At 50.2% G+C, this 15289-nt stretch overlaps 1 protein-coding gene across 2 annotated transcripts in view, besides 7 other annotated features; it reads left to right on the top strand.

Annotated features, from left to right (window-relative positions):
- Window positions 3052-3551: an enhancer, noted in NCBI's record as "H3K4me1 hESC enhancer chr1:21682713-21683212 (GRCh37/hg19 assembly coordinates)". NCBI's record gives its function as "activates a minimal SCP1, AML or CMV promoter by ChIP-STARR-seq in primed H9 embryonic stem cells {active_cell/tissue: H9 hESC(primed)}" and the evidence as "EXISTENCE:reporter gene assay evidence [ECO:0000049][PMID:30033119]".
- Window positions 3552-4053: an enhancer, noted in NCBI's record as "H3K4me1 hESC enhancer chr1:21682211-21682712 (GRCh37/hg19 assembly coordinates)". NCBI's record gives its function as "activates a minimal SCP1, AML or CMV promoter by ChIP-STARR-seq in primed H9 embryonic stem cells {active_cell/tissue: H9 hESC(primed)}" and the evidence as "EXISTENCE:reporter gene assay evidence [ECO:0000049][PMID:30033119]".
- Window positions 13861-13910: an enhancer, noted in NCBI's record as "active region_333". NCBI's record gives its function as "activates an Ori minimal core promoter by ATAC-STARR-seq in GM12878 lymphoblastoid cells {active_cell/tissue: GM12878}" and the evidence as "EXISTENCE:reporter gene assay evidence [ECO:0000049][PMID:35858748]".
- Window positions 13921-13970: an enhancer, noted in NCBI's record as "active region_332". NCBI's record gives its function as "activates an Ori minimal core promoter by ATAC-STARR-seq in GM12878 lymphoblastoid cells {active_cell/tissue: GM12878}" and the evidence as "EXISTENCE:reporter gene assay evidence [ECO:0000049][PMID:35858748]".
- Window positions 14121-14310: a silencer, noted in NCBI's record as "silent region_380". NCBI's record gives its function as "represses an Ori minimal core promoter by ATAC-STARR-seq in GM12878 lymphoblastoid cells {active_cell/tissue: GM12878}" and the evidence as "EXISTENCE:reporter gene assay evidence [ECO:0000049][PMID:35858748]".
- Window positions 14267-15289, top strand: part of ECE1 (endothelin converting enzyme 1) — a 128255-nt gene continuing 127232 nt past the window's right edge. The window contains exon 1 of one of the 2 annotated variants that reach the window (NM_001113348.2): window positions 14267-14395. In NM_001113348.2, the coding sequence (NP_001106819.1) occupies window positions 14393-14395 (3 nt within the window). In that variant the 5' untranslated portion in view covers window positions 14267-14392. Of the gene's footprint in view, window positions 14396-14495; window positions 14835-15289 lie in introns of those variants that run through there. The other variant, XM_011540873.3, reaches the window with a different exon arrangement.
- Window positions 14431-14540: a silencer, noted in NCBI's record as "silent region_379". NCBI's record gives its function as "represses an Ori minimal core promoter by ATAC-STARR-seq in GM12878 lymphoblastoid cells {active_cell/tissue: GM12878}" and the evidence as "EXISTENCE:reporter gene assay evidence [ECO:0000049][PMID:35858748]".
- Window positions 14671-15050: an enhancer, noted in NCBI's record as "active region_331". NCBI's record gives its function as "activates an Ori minimal core promoter by ATAC-STARR-seq in GM12878 lymphoblastoid cells {active_cell/tissue: GM12878}" and the evidence as "EXISTENCE:reporter gene assay evidence [ECO:0000049][PMID:35858748]".

Below are 15289 nucleotides of genomic sequence, written 5' to 3'. Positions count from 1 at the left end.
TACAAATCTTCATATGTATTAAACACAAGAATACAAATTTTTCTGAGATAAAGACCTAAGATAGAATTGCTAAGTTGTATGGCACATGCAATATAAAAATTATCCTTTTGCTTAATTCAACCACAAATCATGAACTTTCCATTTCTTTTTTCTTTTTTTTTTTTTTTTTGAGACTGAGTCCCACTCTGTTGCTGGGCTGGAGTGCAGTGGTGCGATCTCGGCTCACTGCAATCTCCGCATCTCGGGCTCAAGCGGTTCTCCTGCCTCAGCCTCCCAAGTAGCTGGGATTACAGTTGCCCATGCAATGCCCGGCTATTTTTTTTCTATTTTTAGTAGAGCCAGGGTTTCCCCATGTTGGCCAGGCTGTTCTCGAACTCCTGACCTCCAGTGATCCGCCCACCTTGGCCTCCCAAAGTGCCAGGATTACAGGCGTGTGCCACCTAGCCCAGCACATTTTTCCATTTCAATAAATAAATGACATCAATATATTTTAATGGCTGTGGAGATTCTGCCAAAAATTACTCAACGTTATTATGATAGGCATAATGAGTTTCTATTTTTTTCTATCATAATCTAGTCTGTGAGGGCAAATTTTTGTAGTTATACTTTTATGCATACTTTTAATTATTTCCATAATTAAAGGAATTCCTAAGTAGAACTTCTGGGTGAAAAGTGATATGTTTTTAAGACCAACTGTCCTGAGAATTCTTGAACCAACTCTTCCTTCCACCTGTAGGGTAGGAGGGCCTGTTTCCCCCAAATCTGCTCCACTTACCTCCTGACAAGCATTTGCCTCCGGAAATCTTGCCTATCCTTACGCTCTCACCTCTCCCGTCCCTTCTCCTGTTCTCAGCAGATTCTGAGCTGTGGACTCCTGCAGCCCTTACTAATTGCCAGTGCAGTGGTACAAACATGGCTCACTGCAGCCTCGGCCTCCTGGGCTCAAGCAATCCTCTCACCTCAACCTCCTAAGTAGCTGGAACTGCAGGCATGCACCACTGCCCCAGCCAATTTTTTTTTTTTTTTTTTTTTTTAGACGGAGTCTCACTGTCGCCCAGGCTGGAGTGCAGTGGCGCGATCTCGGCTCACTGCAACCTCCGCCTCCCGGGTTAATGCCATTCTCCCGCCTCAGCCTCCTGAGTAGCTGGGACTACAGGCGCCCGCCACCACGCCCGGCTAATTTTTTGTATTTTTAGTAGAGATGGGGTTTCACCGTGTTAGCCAGGACGGTCTCGATCTCCTGACCTCTTGATCCGCCCGCCTCGGCCTCCCAAAGTGCTGGGATTACAGGCGTGAGCCACCACGCCCGGCCCGGCTAATTTTTTATAGAGACAGGGTCCCACTATGTTGCCAGGCTGGTCTCAAACTCCTAACCTTGGATGATCTGTCTGCCTTGGCCTCCCAAAGTGCTGGGATTACAGGCATGAGCCACCGCACCTGGCTCCATTTATGTGAAATTTCTAGAAAAGGAAAAACTAGAGAGACAGAAAGCAGATCAGTGTCTGCCTGGGGATGAAGACAAAAGCAGGGATTACCTGCAAGTGGCTAGGAGGGATCTTTAGGGGGCGATGCGAGTGTTCTTTTTTTTTTTTTTTTTTTGAGATGGAGTCTCTGTCACTCAGGTTGGAGTGCAGTGGCGCGATCTCAGCTCACTGCAACCTCCGCCTCCTGGGTTCACCCCATTCTCCTGCCTCAGCCTCCTGAGTAGCTAGGACTGCAGGCGCCCGCCACCATGTCCGGCTAAATTTTTGTATTTTTTTTTTTTTTTAGTAGAGACGGGGTTTCACCGTGTTGGCCAGGATGGTCTTGATCTCCTGACCTCATGATTTGCCTGCCTCAGCCTCCCAAAGTGCTGGGATTACAGGGGTGAGCCAGCCGGCAATGCGAGTGTTCTAAAACTGGCTTGTGGTGATGATGGCACAATTCTGTGAATTTACTAAAAATCATTGAACTATACACTTAACATGGATGAATGGTATGGTGTGCAGGTTACACCTCAATAAAGAGACATAACGAGTCGGGTGCAGTGGCTCATGCCTATAATCCCAGCACTTTGGGAGGCCAAGGAGGGAGGATCACTTGAGGCCAGGAGACAGAGACAAGCCTGAGCAGCACACTGAGTCCTCGTCTTTACTAAAAATTAAAAAATTAGCCAAGTCTGGGTGTGGTGGCTCACGCCTGTAATCCCAGCACTTTTGGAGGCCAAGGCAGGTGGATCACTTGAGCCTAGGAGTTCATGACCAGACTAGGCAATATAATGAGACTCCATCTCTACAAAAAATAGAAAAAAAAAATTAGCTGGGCATGGTGGCACGCACCTGTAGTCCCAGCTGTGTGAAAGGCTGAGGTGGGAGGATCACTTGAGTCTGGGAGGTTGAGGTGGCAGTGAGGTCGACCTGGGAGCTCAAGGCTGAGTTATAATTATGTCACTGCATTCCAGCCTAGATGACAGAGCGAGACCTTGTCTAAAAAAAAAAAGAAAAAAAGAAAAAAAATAACCAGGCGTGGTGGTGCCAGTTACTCAGGAGGCTGAGGTAGGAGGATCGCTTGAGCCCAGAAGTTTGAGGCTGCAGTGAGCTGTGATTGCACCACTGCACTCTAGCCTGGGTGACAGAGTGAGACCTTGTCTCTCAAAGAGAGAGAGACATGACAACATGACAAAAGGACAGTCCCTACATTTGCTTTGTAATCTGATTGGAGAGCTAGACAAGTAACGAAGAAACTAAGTGTAGAATTAGGAATTCTGATAAGTGGCTGGGTGTAGTGGCTCACACCTGTAATCCCAGCACTTTGGGAGGCCGAGGTGGGTGAATCACCTGAGGTCAGGTGTTCGAGACCAGCCTGGCCAACATGGTGAAACCCAGTCTCTACTAAAAATAAAAATTAGCCAGGCATGGTGGCACGTGCCTGTAATCCCAGCTACTCGGGAAGCTGAGGCAGGAGAATCACTTGAACCCAGGAGGTGGAGGTTGCAGTGAGCCAAGATTGTACCATTGCACTCCAGCCTGGGCAACAAGAGCAAGACTCCGTCTCAAAAAAAAAAAAAAAAAAAAAGAAAGAAAGAAAGAAAAAAGAAATTCTGATAAGTACAATGAAGGAAATGAGGTGGGTGCAGTGAGGGAGAAGAAAAGGAGAGTCCCCTTAGAGAGGGTCGACAAGAAAGGCCTTTCCGGACAGTGACATTTGGACTGAGACCTAAAAGGAAAAGTGATGGGGGAGTCAGTCCAGATGAGGGGCAGCCTGGTCTGACTCTGTTGGGGGAAAGAGCTTGGTGTTCTGGAGCTCATGGGAACCCCATGAGCCATGCTTTTACACACATGTTATAGACTGTCAAAGCGGTGCAGGGACTTGCCCAAGACCACAGGGCACAGGAGCGATGGGGTGGGTGTTTGGGAAAAGGTCTGCTTGTGCCTTGAGTTGGCATCAGCCTTCCTGTCAGTGTGTTCTTGCAGCCAATGCCAACACCCCAATCACACACAGGCTGGCCAGCTTGTCCACACTGGCCTGTCACTGCCCAGGGCTTGGGGCACCATAGGTGGTGGAGGTGTCTGGGCACGTGCTAGGCTAGGAGGCAGCAGAGGTGTGAGAAGCGTGGGAGGTGTGGGTGACTTCATGCTGCCCCAACACCTGCTGTGAAAACAGTGTGAGTCACAGGCAGGGATGGCTTTGGGATCCCCAAGACAGGCCCCACCCAGCTCTCAGGTCTGCCAGTACAGACACAGGCTCCAAGCGGACCTACCTACCCACCCACACCTCCTCTCTTTGTCTAAGACCCTCCTCAATATCCTGCAATTGCGGAGCGCAGACCGGGATTGAAACCTCCACAATGCCACTTCTTCGCTGCAAGACCTCAGACTTCACCAGCCTTGCTCTCCTCTGCTCAACGAGGATGTTGATGTATACGAAAGAACAGACCTGGGATCAGAACCCATGCCCACTTGGCTCCACAGCCCTGGTCTTTCCATCATGCCAGGTCGAGGGGCTTCCTGCAATGGGCCTCACTGAGGGGCGAGTTTAGTGTTCTTAGCCCTCTCCAGCATCCAAATCACCTGGGGGGACCTGCCTTCAGTTATTTTGGTTTAATTGACCTGAGGTGGGATGCAGGCATCAGTACCTTTTAAGAGCTCCCCAGGTGATGCAAATGGACCCCTAGAGCTGACAATTGCTGATCCAACCCCTTCATTTTACAAAGGAGGAGACTGGTGAGGTGTGGTGGCTCACACCTATAATCCCAGCACTTTGGGAGGCCAAGGTGGCTGGATAGTTTGAGCCTAGGAGTTGGATACCAGCCTGGGCAATGTGGCAAAAACCCGTCTCAACAAAAAAGTACAAAAAATTAGCCGGGTGTAGTGGTGTGCACCTGTAGTCCTAGCTACTTGGGAGGCTGAGGTGGGAGGATCACTTGAGCTCAAAAGGTTGAGGCTGCAGTGAGCCATGATCTCGCACTGCAGCCTGGGTGACAGAGCAAGACTCTGTCTCAAAAAACAAACAAACAAACAAACAAACAAATAAAAAAAAGGAGAAGTCTGAGGCCCAGGGACCCTGAGTGACTTTTCCCATGCCCCAGGCCCCCTGATCCCCCACTCATAGGCAGCTGTAGCTGGAGTCCTCAAGTTCTTCCCTCCACATGAAAGAACTACAGTGATGATGTACAAAGCCATGGTGGAGAGCAGGAACTTTAAAATCAGACAGAGTTGGGTTCACATCCTTCATTGCCACTTACAGGCTGTGTGACCAGGAGCAAATCAATTCACCCCTCTGACCCTCAGGATCTTCATCTGTTAAAATAGTGGTCATGTGAGTGCCCCATGAGATAGTGTATGCAGAGAAGAGGTGCTTATTAAACAAGGCCTCATTTCCTACAAGAGCCTTTCTGTAGAGTTTGATAATTTATGGAGCATCAACTATGTGCTGGTCCCTGTTTCTATAGCTGGAGTTGCAGAATTGGGCCTAGGTAGGGGAGACAAAGAGAGTAAACAGACTGAAGAAGACAGAGAGAGGTGCTACATTAGCAGTAATGCAGGGGGCTGTGGGGGCACAGACGGGGAAGGCTTCTTAGAGGAGGAGATGGTCTTACATTCAGATAGCTGTTTAGTGTTAAAGCAAACATTATAAAACATTAATCTAAAAAGACAGATTGAGGCGGAGGGTGGTGACTCACACCTATAATTCCAGCACTTAGGGAGCTGAGGTGAGCGGATAACTTGAGGTCAGGAGTTCAAGACCAGCCTGGCCAACATGGCAAAACCCCATCTCTACTAAAAATACAAAAATTAGCTTAGCATGGTGGCGCTTAGCTGATTACGACTGTAATCCCAGCTACTAAGGAGGCTGAGGCAGGAGAATCGCTTGAACCCGGGAGGCAGAGTTTACAGTGGGCCGAGATCGCACCACTGCACTCCATCCTGAGCCACGGACTGTGACTCCATCTCAAATACATAAATAAATAGAGAGATGGAAAGCCATTGGAAAAAGATAGAGATAAATCTATCAGGTGCCTGGACTGAGTTTGTTACTGAGGTTGAATATATAACCTACCTAAGGGCTTCCTAGCAGCAAAGGCAAAACAGGAAATATACTTTGTTATAGTAGTTTGGCTCTGGGGGAACTTGTTTCTTTGAAATAACGTATTTTTACTCCCTCAACTTGGAAGGGCTATACATAAAAGAGCTGATATTGTAGTGAGGGCATTTGAGGAAATGGTTTTCCACTCTGCCTGCATTCCTGTCCCCTCTGGCAGTCCCCCTGTGCTCATCCCAGCTAAGTCTCAGGAATTCCTTCCCCTTCACTGCTCCACCCTGGCCTACTTTCTCAGCTACATTCCCCTCCTCTGTGCTCTCTGCAAAACCAAGTCTCCCATCAGCGGAGGTGTTCACACGTGGGCCAGGTGACACCTGTGGAGGAAACTGCAGTGGAGCTTCATAAACTAAAACAGGGACTGGAATGGATAACTTTGGACATCTCGTCCAGGTCCAGCCTTCAGGGTCTGTGAATCTGTACCAGGGTAACTGAAATGCAACCCTACTCCTCACCGTAGTAATTCCAGCTTCTGTATGATTCTTCAGAAAAAAAAAACAAAAAAAAAACAAAAAAAAAAAACCGCCCAGTTCAAATCCCACAACTTAAAAGCTGCCTTCTCTAGATTAGTGCCCACGTCCCCCCTCGGCTTCAGCTTCTTAACACAGATAACGGCAAGGAGTTGTGGGGTGGCTTCATGATGGTGCATGCCTATTATTTAGGTATATCCTTATTCTATCACGAACAGAAAGGCATTTGCAGCAACTCACAAAAAACAAATAAAACAGAGCCGGGCGCAGTGGTGGTGCATGCCTGGAGCTCCAGCTACCCAGGAGGCTGGGGCAGGAGGATCCCTTCAGCCCCAGAGTTTAAGATCAGCCTGGGCAACATAGTGAGACCCCTCTTCACTAAAAAAATTAAATTAAATTTAAAAATAAGAATCTTCTGGCTGGGCGCAGTGGCTTACAACTGTAATCCCAGCACTTCGGGAGGCTGATGCGGGCAGATCACTTGAGGTCAGGAGTTCGAGACCAGCCTGGCCAACATGGTAAAACCCTGTCTCTACTAAAAATACAAAAAAATTAGCCAGGCATAGTGGCACACACCTGTAATCTCAGCTACTTGGGAGGCTGAGGCAGGAGAATCGCTTGAACCTGGGAGATGGAGGTTGCAGTGAGCCAAGATCACATCACTGCACTCCAGCCTGGTCGATGGAGTGAGACTCTGTCTTAATCAATAAGAATCTTCCTTAAGGTTCTTACAGCAAAATTAATGAGTTAATTAATTTAAACAAAACAACTGTGTTTACCAGAAAGTTAAGATAATAGACAAATTGCCTCATCCCAGCTCTCCCACTTGGAGGCTGTGTGATCTTGGGCAAGTTGCTTCATCTCTCTAAGCCTCAGTTTCCTTGTCTGTAAAATGGGATAATAGTAGTAACCACCCCCATTGGGCTATTGTAGAATTAAATAAATGAATACAGAGGAGTACTTAGCACAGTGCCTGGCATACATTACTTAGACAAGATATTTTATCAGTTTTTATTTTTATTTTTATGATGATGATGTAATCTAGCTTTCTGTGTATAAAAATGTAATCTGGGTAAAGCTGAGCCACCCAAAGCCAGTCTCAGCCCCCTGTTGAATTAGAAACACTATTTCCTCCTCTGAACAAAACAAACAAACAAACAAACTGCAAAGCAATTTAACTATTTATTCAGTTCTTTTGAGAATGTTAAAGCAGACATCATCCATAATCTTAGTAAAACTTTCTCCCGTGTCCTGCCTGCTGCTCTCTCTCTCTCTCCTCCGCCTGACCCCTCACTCTTTTTCAATATCTCACAGCACAGCAGCCCCCAAATCTGCGTCTGGATCCCCCAAACACTCCCTCAAAGCTCAGCCTGCGCTGGCTTTGACCCACTTCATCCCCTGCTCCAGCCTCTCCCCATCTTTCCCACCCCACAACCTCTGCCCTTTCTCTTGTAGTTTGTTTCTTTCTCCCCCACCTCCACCCATTACCCAGATTCACAGGGTAAAGCCCGGGCTGCAGCTGCCTGACACACCAAGTTTCCTTCCTCAGAGAGGACAGGGAGGAAGGAGGCTCTGAAAACGTTAATAACGTTTTCCCTCTTCCCAAAATGGACATAAATCTGTCAATTCAGCTAAATACAGAATCACATCAAAGAGTTTCCAATGGTTAATATCTGAGGAGCGATATTATAGGGACTATTTCTTCCCATTGTATTCATTTCCGCATTATCTATTTTACTTTTTTCTCTGTTTTTTTTTTCTTTTTGAGACAGGGTGTCGTGCAGCAGTCTTGAACTCCTGGGCTCAAGTGATCTTCCCACCTCAGCCTCCCCAGTAGCTGGGATACAGGCTTGTGCCACCATGCATGACTTTTTTTTTTTTTTTTTTTTTTTTTTTTTGAGACAGAGTCTTGCTCTGTCGCTAGGCTGTAGTGCAGTGGTGCGATCTCAGCTCACTGCAACCTCCGCTTACCAGGTTCAAGTGATTCCCCTGCCTCAGCCTCCGGAGTAGCTGGGACTACAGGCGCATGCCACCATGCCCAGCTACTTTTTTGTATTTTGGTAGGACGGGGTTTCACCATGTTGGCCAGGATAGTCTTGATCTCCTGACCTCGTGATCCGCCCACCTCGGCCTTCCAAAGTGCTGGGATTACAAGTGTGAGCCACCGCGCCCAGCCCCAACTAATTTTTTAAAAATATATTTAGTAGAGGCCAGGTGTGGTGGCTCATGCCTGTAATCCCAGCACTTTGGGAGGCTGAGGCGGGCGGATCACTTGAGGTCAAGAGTTCGAGACCACCCTGACCAACATGGTGAAACCCTGTCTCTACTAAAAATACAAAAATTAGCTGGACGTGGTGGTGGGCACCTGTAATCCCAGCTACTCTGGAGGCTGAGACATGAGAATTGCTTGAATCTAGGAGGTGGAGGTTGCAGTAAGCCGAGATCACACCATTGCACTCCAGCCTGGGCAACAAGAGCGAAACTCCATCTCAAAAAAACAAAAACAAACAAACAAAAATATATGTATGTATATATATATTTATATTTAGTAGAGACAAGGTCTCACTGTGTTGCCCAGGCTGGTGAACACCTGACCTCAAGCAGTTCTCCTGCTTCGGCCTCCCAAAGTTTTGGGATTACAGGCCTGAGCCATGGTGCCTCGACCCTATTGTCTGTTTTACAGTGACCATGTATTACATTTGAAATTTGAAAAAATAGAGATTTTTTTTTCAAAATTAATTAAGGAAATCAGGGCAGAGGGAAGAAAAAGTAAGGTAAAAGCAGCGATAAAGTAAGTATCCTAAGTATATTCCATTGCTCTTGTATTTAAATCAAGTGAAGTTCGAAGTATGGCGCCTGGAACAGACTCAATAAATAGCAGTGAGTGCTGGACTTCATGGGTCTCTGTCCTTCACAGAAACTCAACTGCCCAGTTGAATCAGAGTAATTGGTGGCCCAAGGAGACACGAGAGGGGGGTCAGGGGGGATAGCCTGATCTCCAGTCTTTCACCAGGGGCCCAGGGCAGGGGGAAGGGTCCTGGCTACCTCACTGCAGGGTTGGATGAGTCAGGAAGAGCCTCATTGGGCCTGACAAGCTCTGCCTGCCTGTACCCTGCCTGCACCCTGCATCTGAGCACGGAGTCCCCTCCCCTGCCAGCCTCTTCAGAGCTTCTTCTGCCATTTTCATGACTGTATCTTCTTAGACAGGCTGGTTACTGTTCCTTGGAGAGTCTGGTGATTTCCTCGGGTGCCCTAGACAGTATTTCAGCTCAGTTACGGAAGACAAAACAACATTAAAAATTAAAAAGCTCTTACAGCGAGTCTCATTCTGTCTGCATGCCTGTGGGTCGCTCAGTGTGTCCAGCCTCTGTCTGACTTGGCACGTGGTATTACTCTCAAAGCAAAAAATCAGCCAAACAAAAGGGATTCTCTGGGCACCTACTGTGTACTAGTCATTACCAAACACCTATTCTGTACAAGACGATGACAGAGGCAAAGCGGAGGAAGAATAATGCCAGTGATAGCCATGGCCACATATATTGAACGTCTGTGACTCATGTCTCTCCACACATTCTGGGAGATTCCTTTTGGATCCTGGTGAGTCCTGAGGCTGCATGGCTGGAAACCCACACCTAAACTACAATGCCAGGTATCTCCAGGGTCTCACTTCCTGGCTAATCAGAACCCTTGGCCACAGTGATTGGCAGAGGAATTGACACATGTCTCAGTGACAGTCGACAAGACTCAGTTTTGGGAATGTTAATTAGAACTGTAGGAAAAAGTGAGTCCCTGTTTCCGCTGGGAGTTGATAAGAGAGTAGGATGTGAGCCACTGCTGAGGGCAGCCATCTTGTCATCATGAGGCCAAGAGGTGAGGCCAGCAGGGAGGGAAGCGGTCTTCAGAGATGGAGTAAATGAGACTGAATCCTAATGTCATCATCTGAGCTCCTCTTGGAGCCATGCCTAAAGCTAGCTCTGCCCCTGTACTTTGTAGTTACACAGGCTCTGTGTAACTCAATTGGCTCTGGCCAATTCAGGTTGGTTTTCTGCGTTTGAGCCCTGATGCTCCGATGGGGCAGACCCTGTGCCCAGAGGCTTGAGTATTTGGAAGGGGCAACTCCCCACATCTCATCCAGTCTCCAGCAGTCTAACAGGGGACACCTTCTCCTGTCATGAAACCACTTGTGTCTGTCAGAGGGCATGGCGAGCCCATGAATACCAACAGAAGCAGCTGCATGCCAGCAAAGGAGCAAAGCCCCTCAAACTAGCTGTGTCTTCTCGGGCAAATCACTTTCCCTCTCTGAACATTGATTTTCTCACCTGCAATATGGAGGTGATGTGGGAATCCTAGCACCTACCACATAGAATTGTGAGAATCACTCAGATAATGCTGCAAAGCACCTGCCACCATGTCTGGCACATAATAAATGCTTAGCATTTGTTATGGCTGGCCGTTCCCAGAAAGCTGTTTGGATGAGGTGATCTCTGAAGATCCTGGAGGAGTTGGAGGTAAGGGTCAGAGTCGGCAGCAAACCTCACTTGCTTGCTTCCGTTTGAGCAGCATAAGACCAGGGGCTGCGTTTTCTGGAGCAGCCTGGTAGAATGGAAAAGACTCAGCCATCACCTTGGGAGGCCTTGGTTCTAGTCCTGATTCTGCTGTCAAGCCGGGTGAGTGGCTTTGGAGTGGGTTTGGGCATGCTGCCCCTCACTCCCTGCCCGCCCCGCCCCATCCTTAATGTGCCCCTTTCAGAAGCAAGAAAGCCACAGCCTTTCTCCTCTGCTTTCTTCATAGAGCCAGGAGAACCACACCTTACTCAATATAGTGTCCCCAGTACTCTGCCCTGAGCTGATACAGCATTCCAGAATGTCCATTTTATGAGTGATTAAAATGTGGTCATAATACCTATACCTGACCTTCTGATTTTTTTTTTTTTTTTTTTTTTTTTTTTTTTTTGCCGGATTCTCACTGTCGCCCAGGCTGGAGTGCAGTGGCTCGATCTCAGCTCACTGCAACCTCTGCCTCCCACGTTCAAGTGATTCTCCTGCCTCAGCCTCCGGAGTAGCTGGGATTATAGGCACCCGCCACCCTGCCCAGCTAATTTTTGTATTTTAGTAGAGATGGAGTTTTGCCATGTTGGCCAGGCTGGTCTCAAACTCCTGATCTCAAGTGATCCACCACTGAGCCCTGCCTTTTTTTTTTTTTTTTTTTTTTTGAAATGGAGTCTCTCTGTCACCTAGGCTGGAGGGCAGCGGCGTGATTCAGCTCACTGCAACCTCCGCCTCCTCGGTCCAAGCGATTCTCCTGTCTCAGCCTCCTGAGTAGCTGGAATTACAGGTGCCCACGACCATGCCCGGGTAATTTATTTGTATTTTTAGTAGAGACGAGTTTTGTCATGTTGGCCACACTGGTCTTGAACTCCTGACCTCAGGTGATCCGCCTGCCTTGGCCTCTCAAAGTGCTGGGATTACAGGTATGAGCCACTGCACCTGGCCCTTTTTTCTTTTGGAAACTTCTTGTTAGAGAGTAACAGAGACAGAAAAGCACATAGATCCTAAGGAGACTGCTCAATTTTTCACAACTGAACTACTCCCTCCTCCGTACCTAACCCTTACTAGCACCCAGAAGCTTCCCTGGTGCCCCTTTCCAGTCATTCCCTCCCCAAAGATAACACAAACCTAACTTCTGACAGCACAGGTCTAATTTTGCTTATTTTTTGAACTTTTTGTAAATGGAGCAATGCTTAAAGGCTTTCTAGCGGTTTGTTAAGTTACAAAAGGCCCACGAGGTATATTAACTCCTTAAATCTTTACAACAGTACAGTGAGGTGGGTAAGAATTATGAACACCATTTTACAGAGGCAAAAACGGGAGCTCAGAGAGAAGAGAACATAATCACATTGCTGGCAAGTGGAGTGCCAGGATAACTGGGTTTCATTTTTGTGTGTCCCTGGATCTTCAATGTCTCTGCAGGCATCAGGCTATGATTCTTAGGAAGACACTTGAGGAATAGTCAGGAATCGGACACCAGGCCAGGGCAGCTGATAGTTTAAGTACCCCATGATGGAGGGGGGCTCTGGACCTTCAGGTCTGGTCACCTTGCAGACACGGCCAGACCCTCCCCCCTTCACCATGCTCCCAACTGCTGCACTCAAGGAGCTTTTCGACCTCCCTGAGTCCTCCACACTGAAGAATTTGGAATGCTGCTGGAAGGAAGGAGCAACATAGAGTTATTTCCACAGAGCCCCTCCCCGCCCTCCAGGTTCCCAAACAAACTGCCCAGGAACAGATGGTCCGCTTTAGAATGACTCTGTGTGCCCAGACGCATCCAGGGCCACTCTGGGTCAGCACCTGGGCAAGGGTTGCAGTCAGTTGCTCCTCCTCTTCCTTGCTGGCAGTAGGTTCTGTTTCCAAATTCACCCTGGTCACCCACCACTACAGCCTCCTCACCCCCGTTGGCTGATAGGCAGGATTCCCCGGATCTTTCCCTCTGGCCTCACGAGCATTCTGTCTGGCCTAATGAACTCTTAGACATCCTTCAAAGCCCAAATCCCAATGCCGCCAGGATGTCTTTCTCCTGAACATACACTCATTATGCCCCCTACACAGTAGTTTCTCTTTCTCAGCCCAACCCAAATATAGATGATCACAAAAGTCACACAACAGTCACACACAAAGACCACAGTGTCACCACACACACAATGTTTTTATCTCGATGTCTCTTGCAAACTGGGTTACACACAAAGTTGTACCAAATCACAGCCATGTCCCTCTTTTGTGTGGGCACGTACAACACACGCAAACTACACCACAAAAACCCAGGATTTTTTCACAACTTGTTTACAACAGGGACACCACATTTCTTTCTACCACATTAACATGCATGTACAACAGGACCCAAAAGTGGAGATCACACATCACACACACACACAGGCAGGCTGTCTTCTGTTCCTTCCTCCTTCCCTTGACCTCACAAAACCTACACGTGGAGACAGTGTCTCTCCTGGACCTGCAAATTCACACGCCTAGAGAGCCACGGCTCCTTCTCTCTGCTTTGCTACCATTCCCTCCCTCACCCCTCTATCACGGGGACACACACACACACAGCAACAAACCCCAAATACAGCGGACACACACACACAGCAACGAACCCCAAATATAGCAGACACACAAACACACAGCAATGAACCCTAAATATAGCGGAGACACACACACAGCAACAAACCTCAAATATAGCAGACACACACACACAGCAATGAACCCCAAATATAGTGGACACACACAGAACAAACCCCAAATATAGTAGACACTCACAGCAACGAACCCCAAATATAGCGACACACAGACACACGGCAACAAACCTCAAATATAGCGGACACAGGTTGTCCTGAAGTCCCTGGACGGCAACGAATCCCAAATAAATCAGTCAGGGCTTTCCTTCACATATAAACACACGGGCACGCGGAATCCACCCCTCCCCCACTTTCTGTCTCCTCATCTCTCTTCCTCTCTTACACACACACACACACACACACACACACACACACACACACGGCAACAAACCCCAAATATACCGGACACACACACACAGCAACAAACCTCAAATACAGCGGACACACACACAGCAACGAACCCCAAATATAGCAAACACACACACGCACATATACACACAGAGCAACAAATCCCAAATATAGTCAGGACTTTCCTTCACACATAAGCACACGGGCACGCGGAATCCACCCCTCCCACCGTTTCTGTCTCCTCTTCTCCTCCCTCTTACACACACGCGCGCGCGCGCGCGCGCGCGCACACACACACACACACACACACACACACACACACAAGCAGCTGCAGCGCCCCGGGTCACACTCCAGTGCAGGAGCCAGGCAGGAGACAAAGGTCGCCGAGGCTCCCGGCGGCCCCACCGGACACAATCGAGCCTCTTCCCGGTTCTGCTAGCTCCCAACGCCGGTCTCGGCAAGGTCTGGACCCTGCGCCCCGAAGCAACAACTCCCGCCTGCTCCTGCCCTCCAGGTTCCCCGCGCAGCCCGGGCAGCCGACTCCCAGCGCGCCAAGGGTTAAGGGCCCGCGCGGGCGCGGGGAGTGCAGCCTCAGGCCGTGATTGGCTGCGCCACCCAGGCCCCCGCGCCCTGCCATTGGCCCCGCGGCGGCCCCGCCCCTCCGGCACTCGGCGCCGAAGCCGCGAGCTCGCCCGCTGGAGCTGAGCGCGCCGCCTGGGCCAGGCAGCCGAGCCGTCCGAGCAGCTGGGCTGGGAGCAGGGAACCCGGAGCTGGGAATCGGGAGCCGGGCGCGGGGAGCTGCGCGAAGCCGGGGCGGAGCACGCGAGCTATGGTGAGTGCTGCGCGCGGAGGTCTGGTCCGGTCCAGCCCAGCCTCGACGGTCGCGGGCAGCGGTGCCGCGGGTGGCACCCGGGGCCGCCCTGGCTCGCGGGGGGCTGGGCGCCGGCTGCAGCAGCAGCCCCCGCCCGGCTCTCGGAAGGCGTGGAGTCGGGGAGCGCCCGGGCAGAGCGCGGCTCTCCCGGCGGCGCTGCGCTTGGTCCCGTCGGGGGCGGCCGCGCCGAGCTTGGTTCTGGTCCCAGCCGGATGTGGGGGGCTCGGGGTCCCCGGTTCGCTTTGGGGACGGTTGCTGCGGTCTGTTTTGGGTTGTTCTGAAGTCCCTGGACTCAGCTTGGCTTGGAGACCCAGGGCAGCCGGGCTGGGTCGGGCTCGCGGGTGGCGGCGATTTCGAGGTGCCTGGATGCAGCTGGACCTGAGCGTCCCGGGACACTGAGGTCGGTCTGGGGCTCGCCTTGGGGCACTGTGGGTGGCCACGCCCGGCGCATTCGGAGGGCTAGGTTGCGGCCCTCTGGGACTGCTGATCCAGCTGTGGCCTAAGGGGTGTATGTGGTGGCGACGCAGCTAGGTCGGTGCTGTCAGAGACCAGGGGACACTCAGGGGCCCTGCACCCAGCGATCCGGTCTCCCCAGCATCTCCCGGTGATGGGTCCTCAGAGGAGGGGCTTGCTGAGGCCGAGTGCTGACTGCGATAGGCAGGAGTACCAGGGAGAAAGGGAACTGGGGAGGGGCGTTTCATGGGGCTCTCTAAAGCCCCAGAAGAGAAATCCATTTGATCCAGGCTGGGCTTCCTGGGGGGGGGCTGTTGGGAGGGGCATTGTCCCTGGACCCCAAGAGCAAAGGCCCTTTGTCCACTTGTCCAGGGCCGGGTGCCGGCCTCTCCATCACGGGAA

This window comes from Homo sapiens, chromosome 1, assembly GCF_000001405.40.
Source record: "Homo sapiens chromosome 1, GRCh38.p14 Primary Assembly".
NCBI classification, from domain to species: domain Eukaryota; kingdom Metazoa; phylum Chordata; class Mammalia; order Primates; family Hominidae; genus Homo; species Homo sapiens.
Note: the sequence above shows the minus strand (reverse complement) of the source record. Positions and strands in the feature narration are given on the sequence as shown.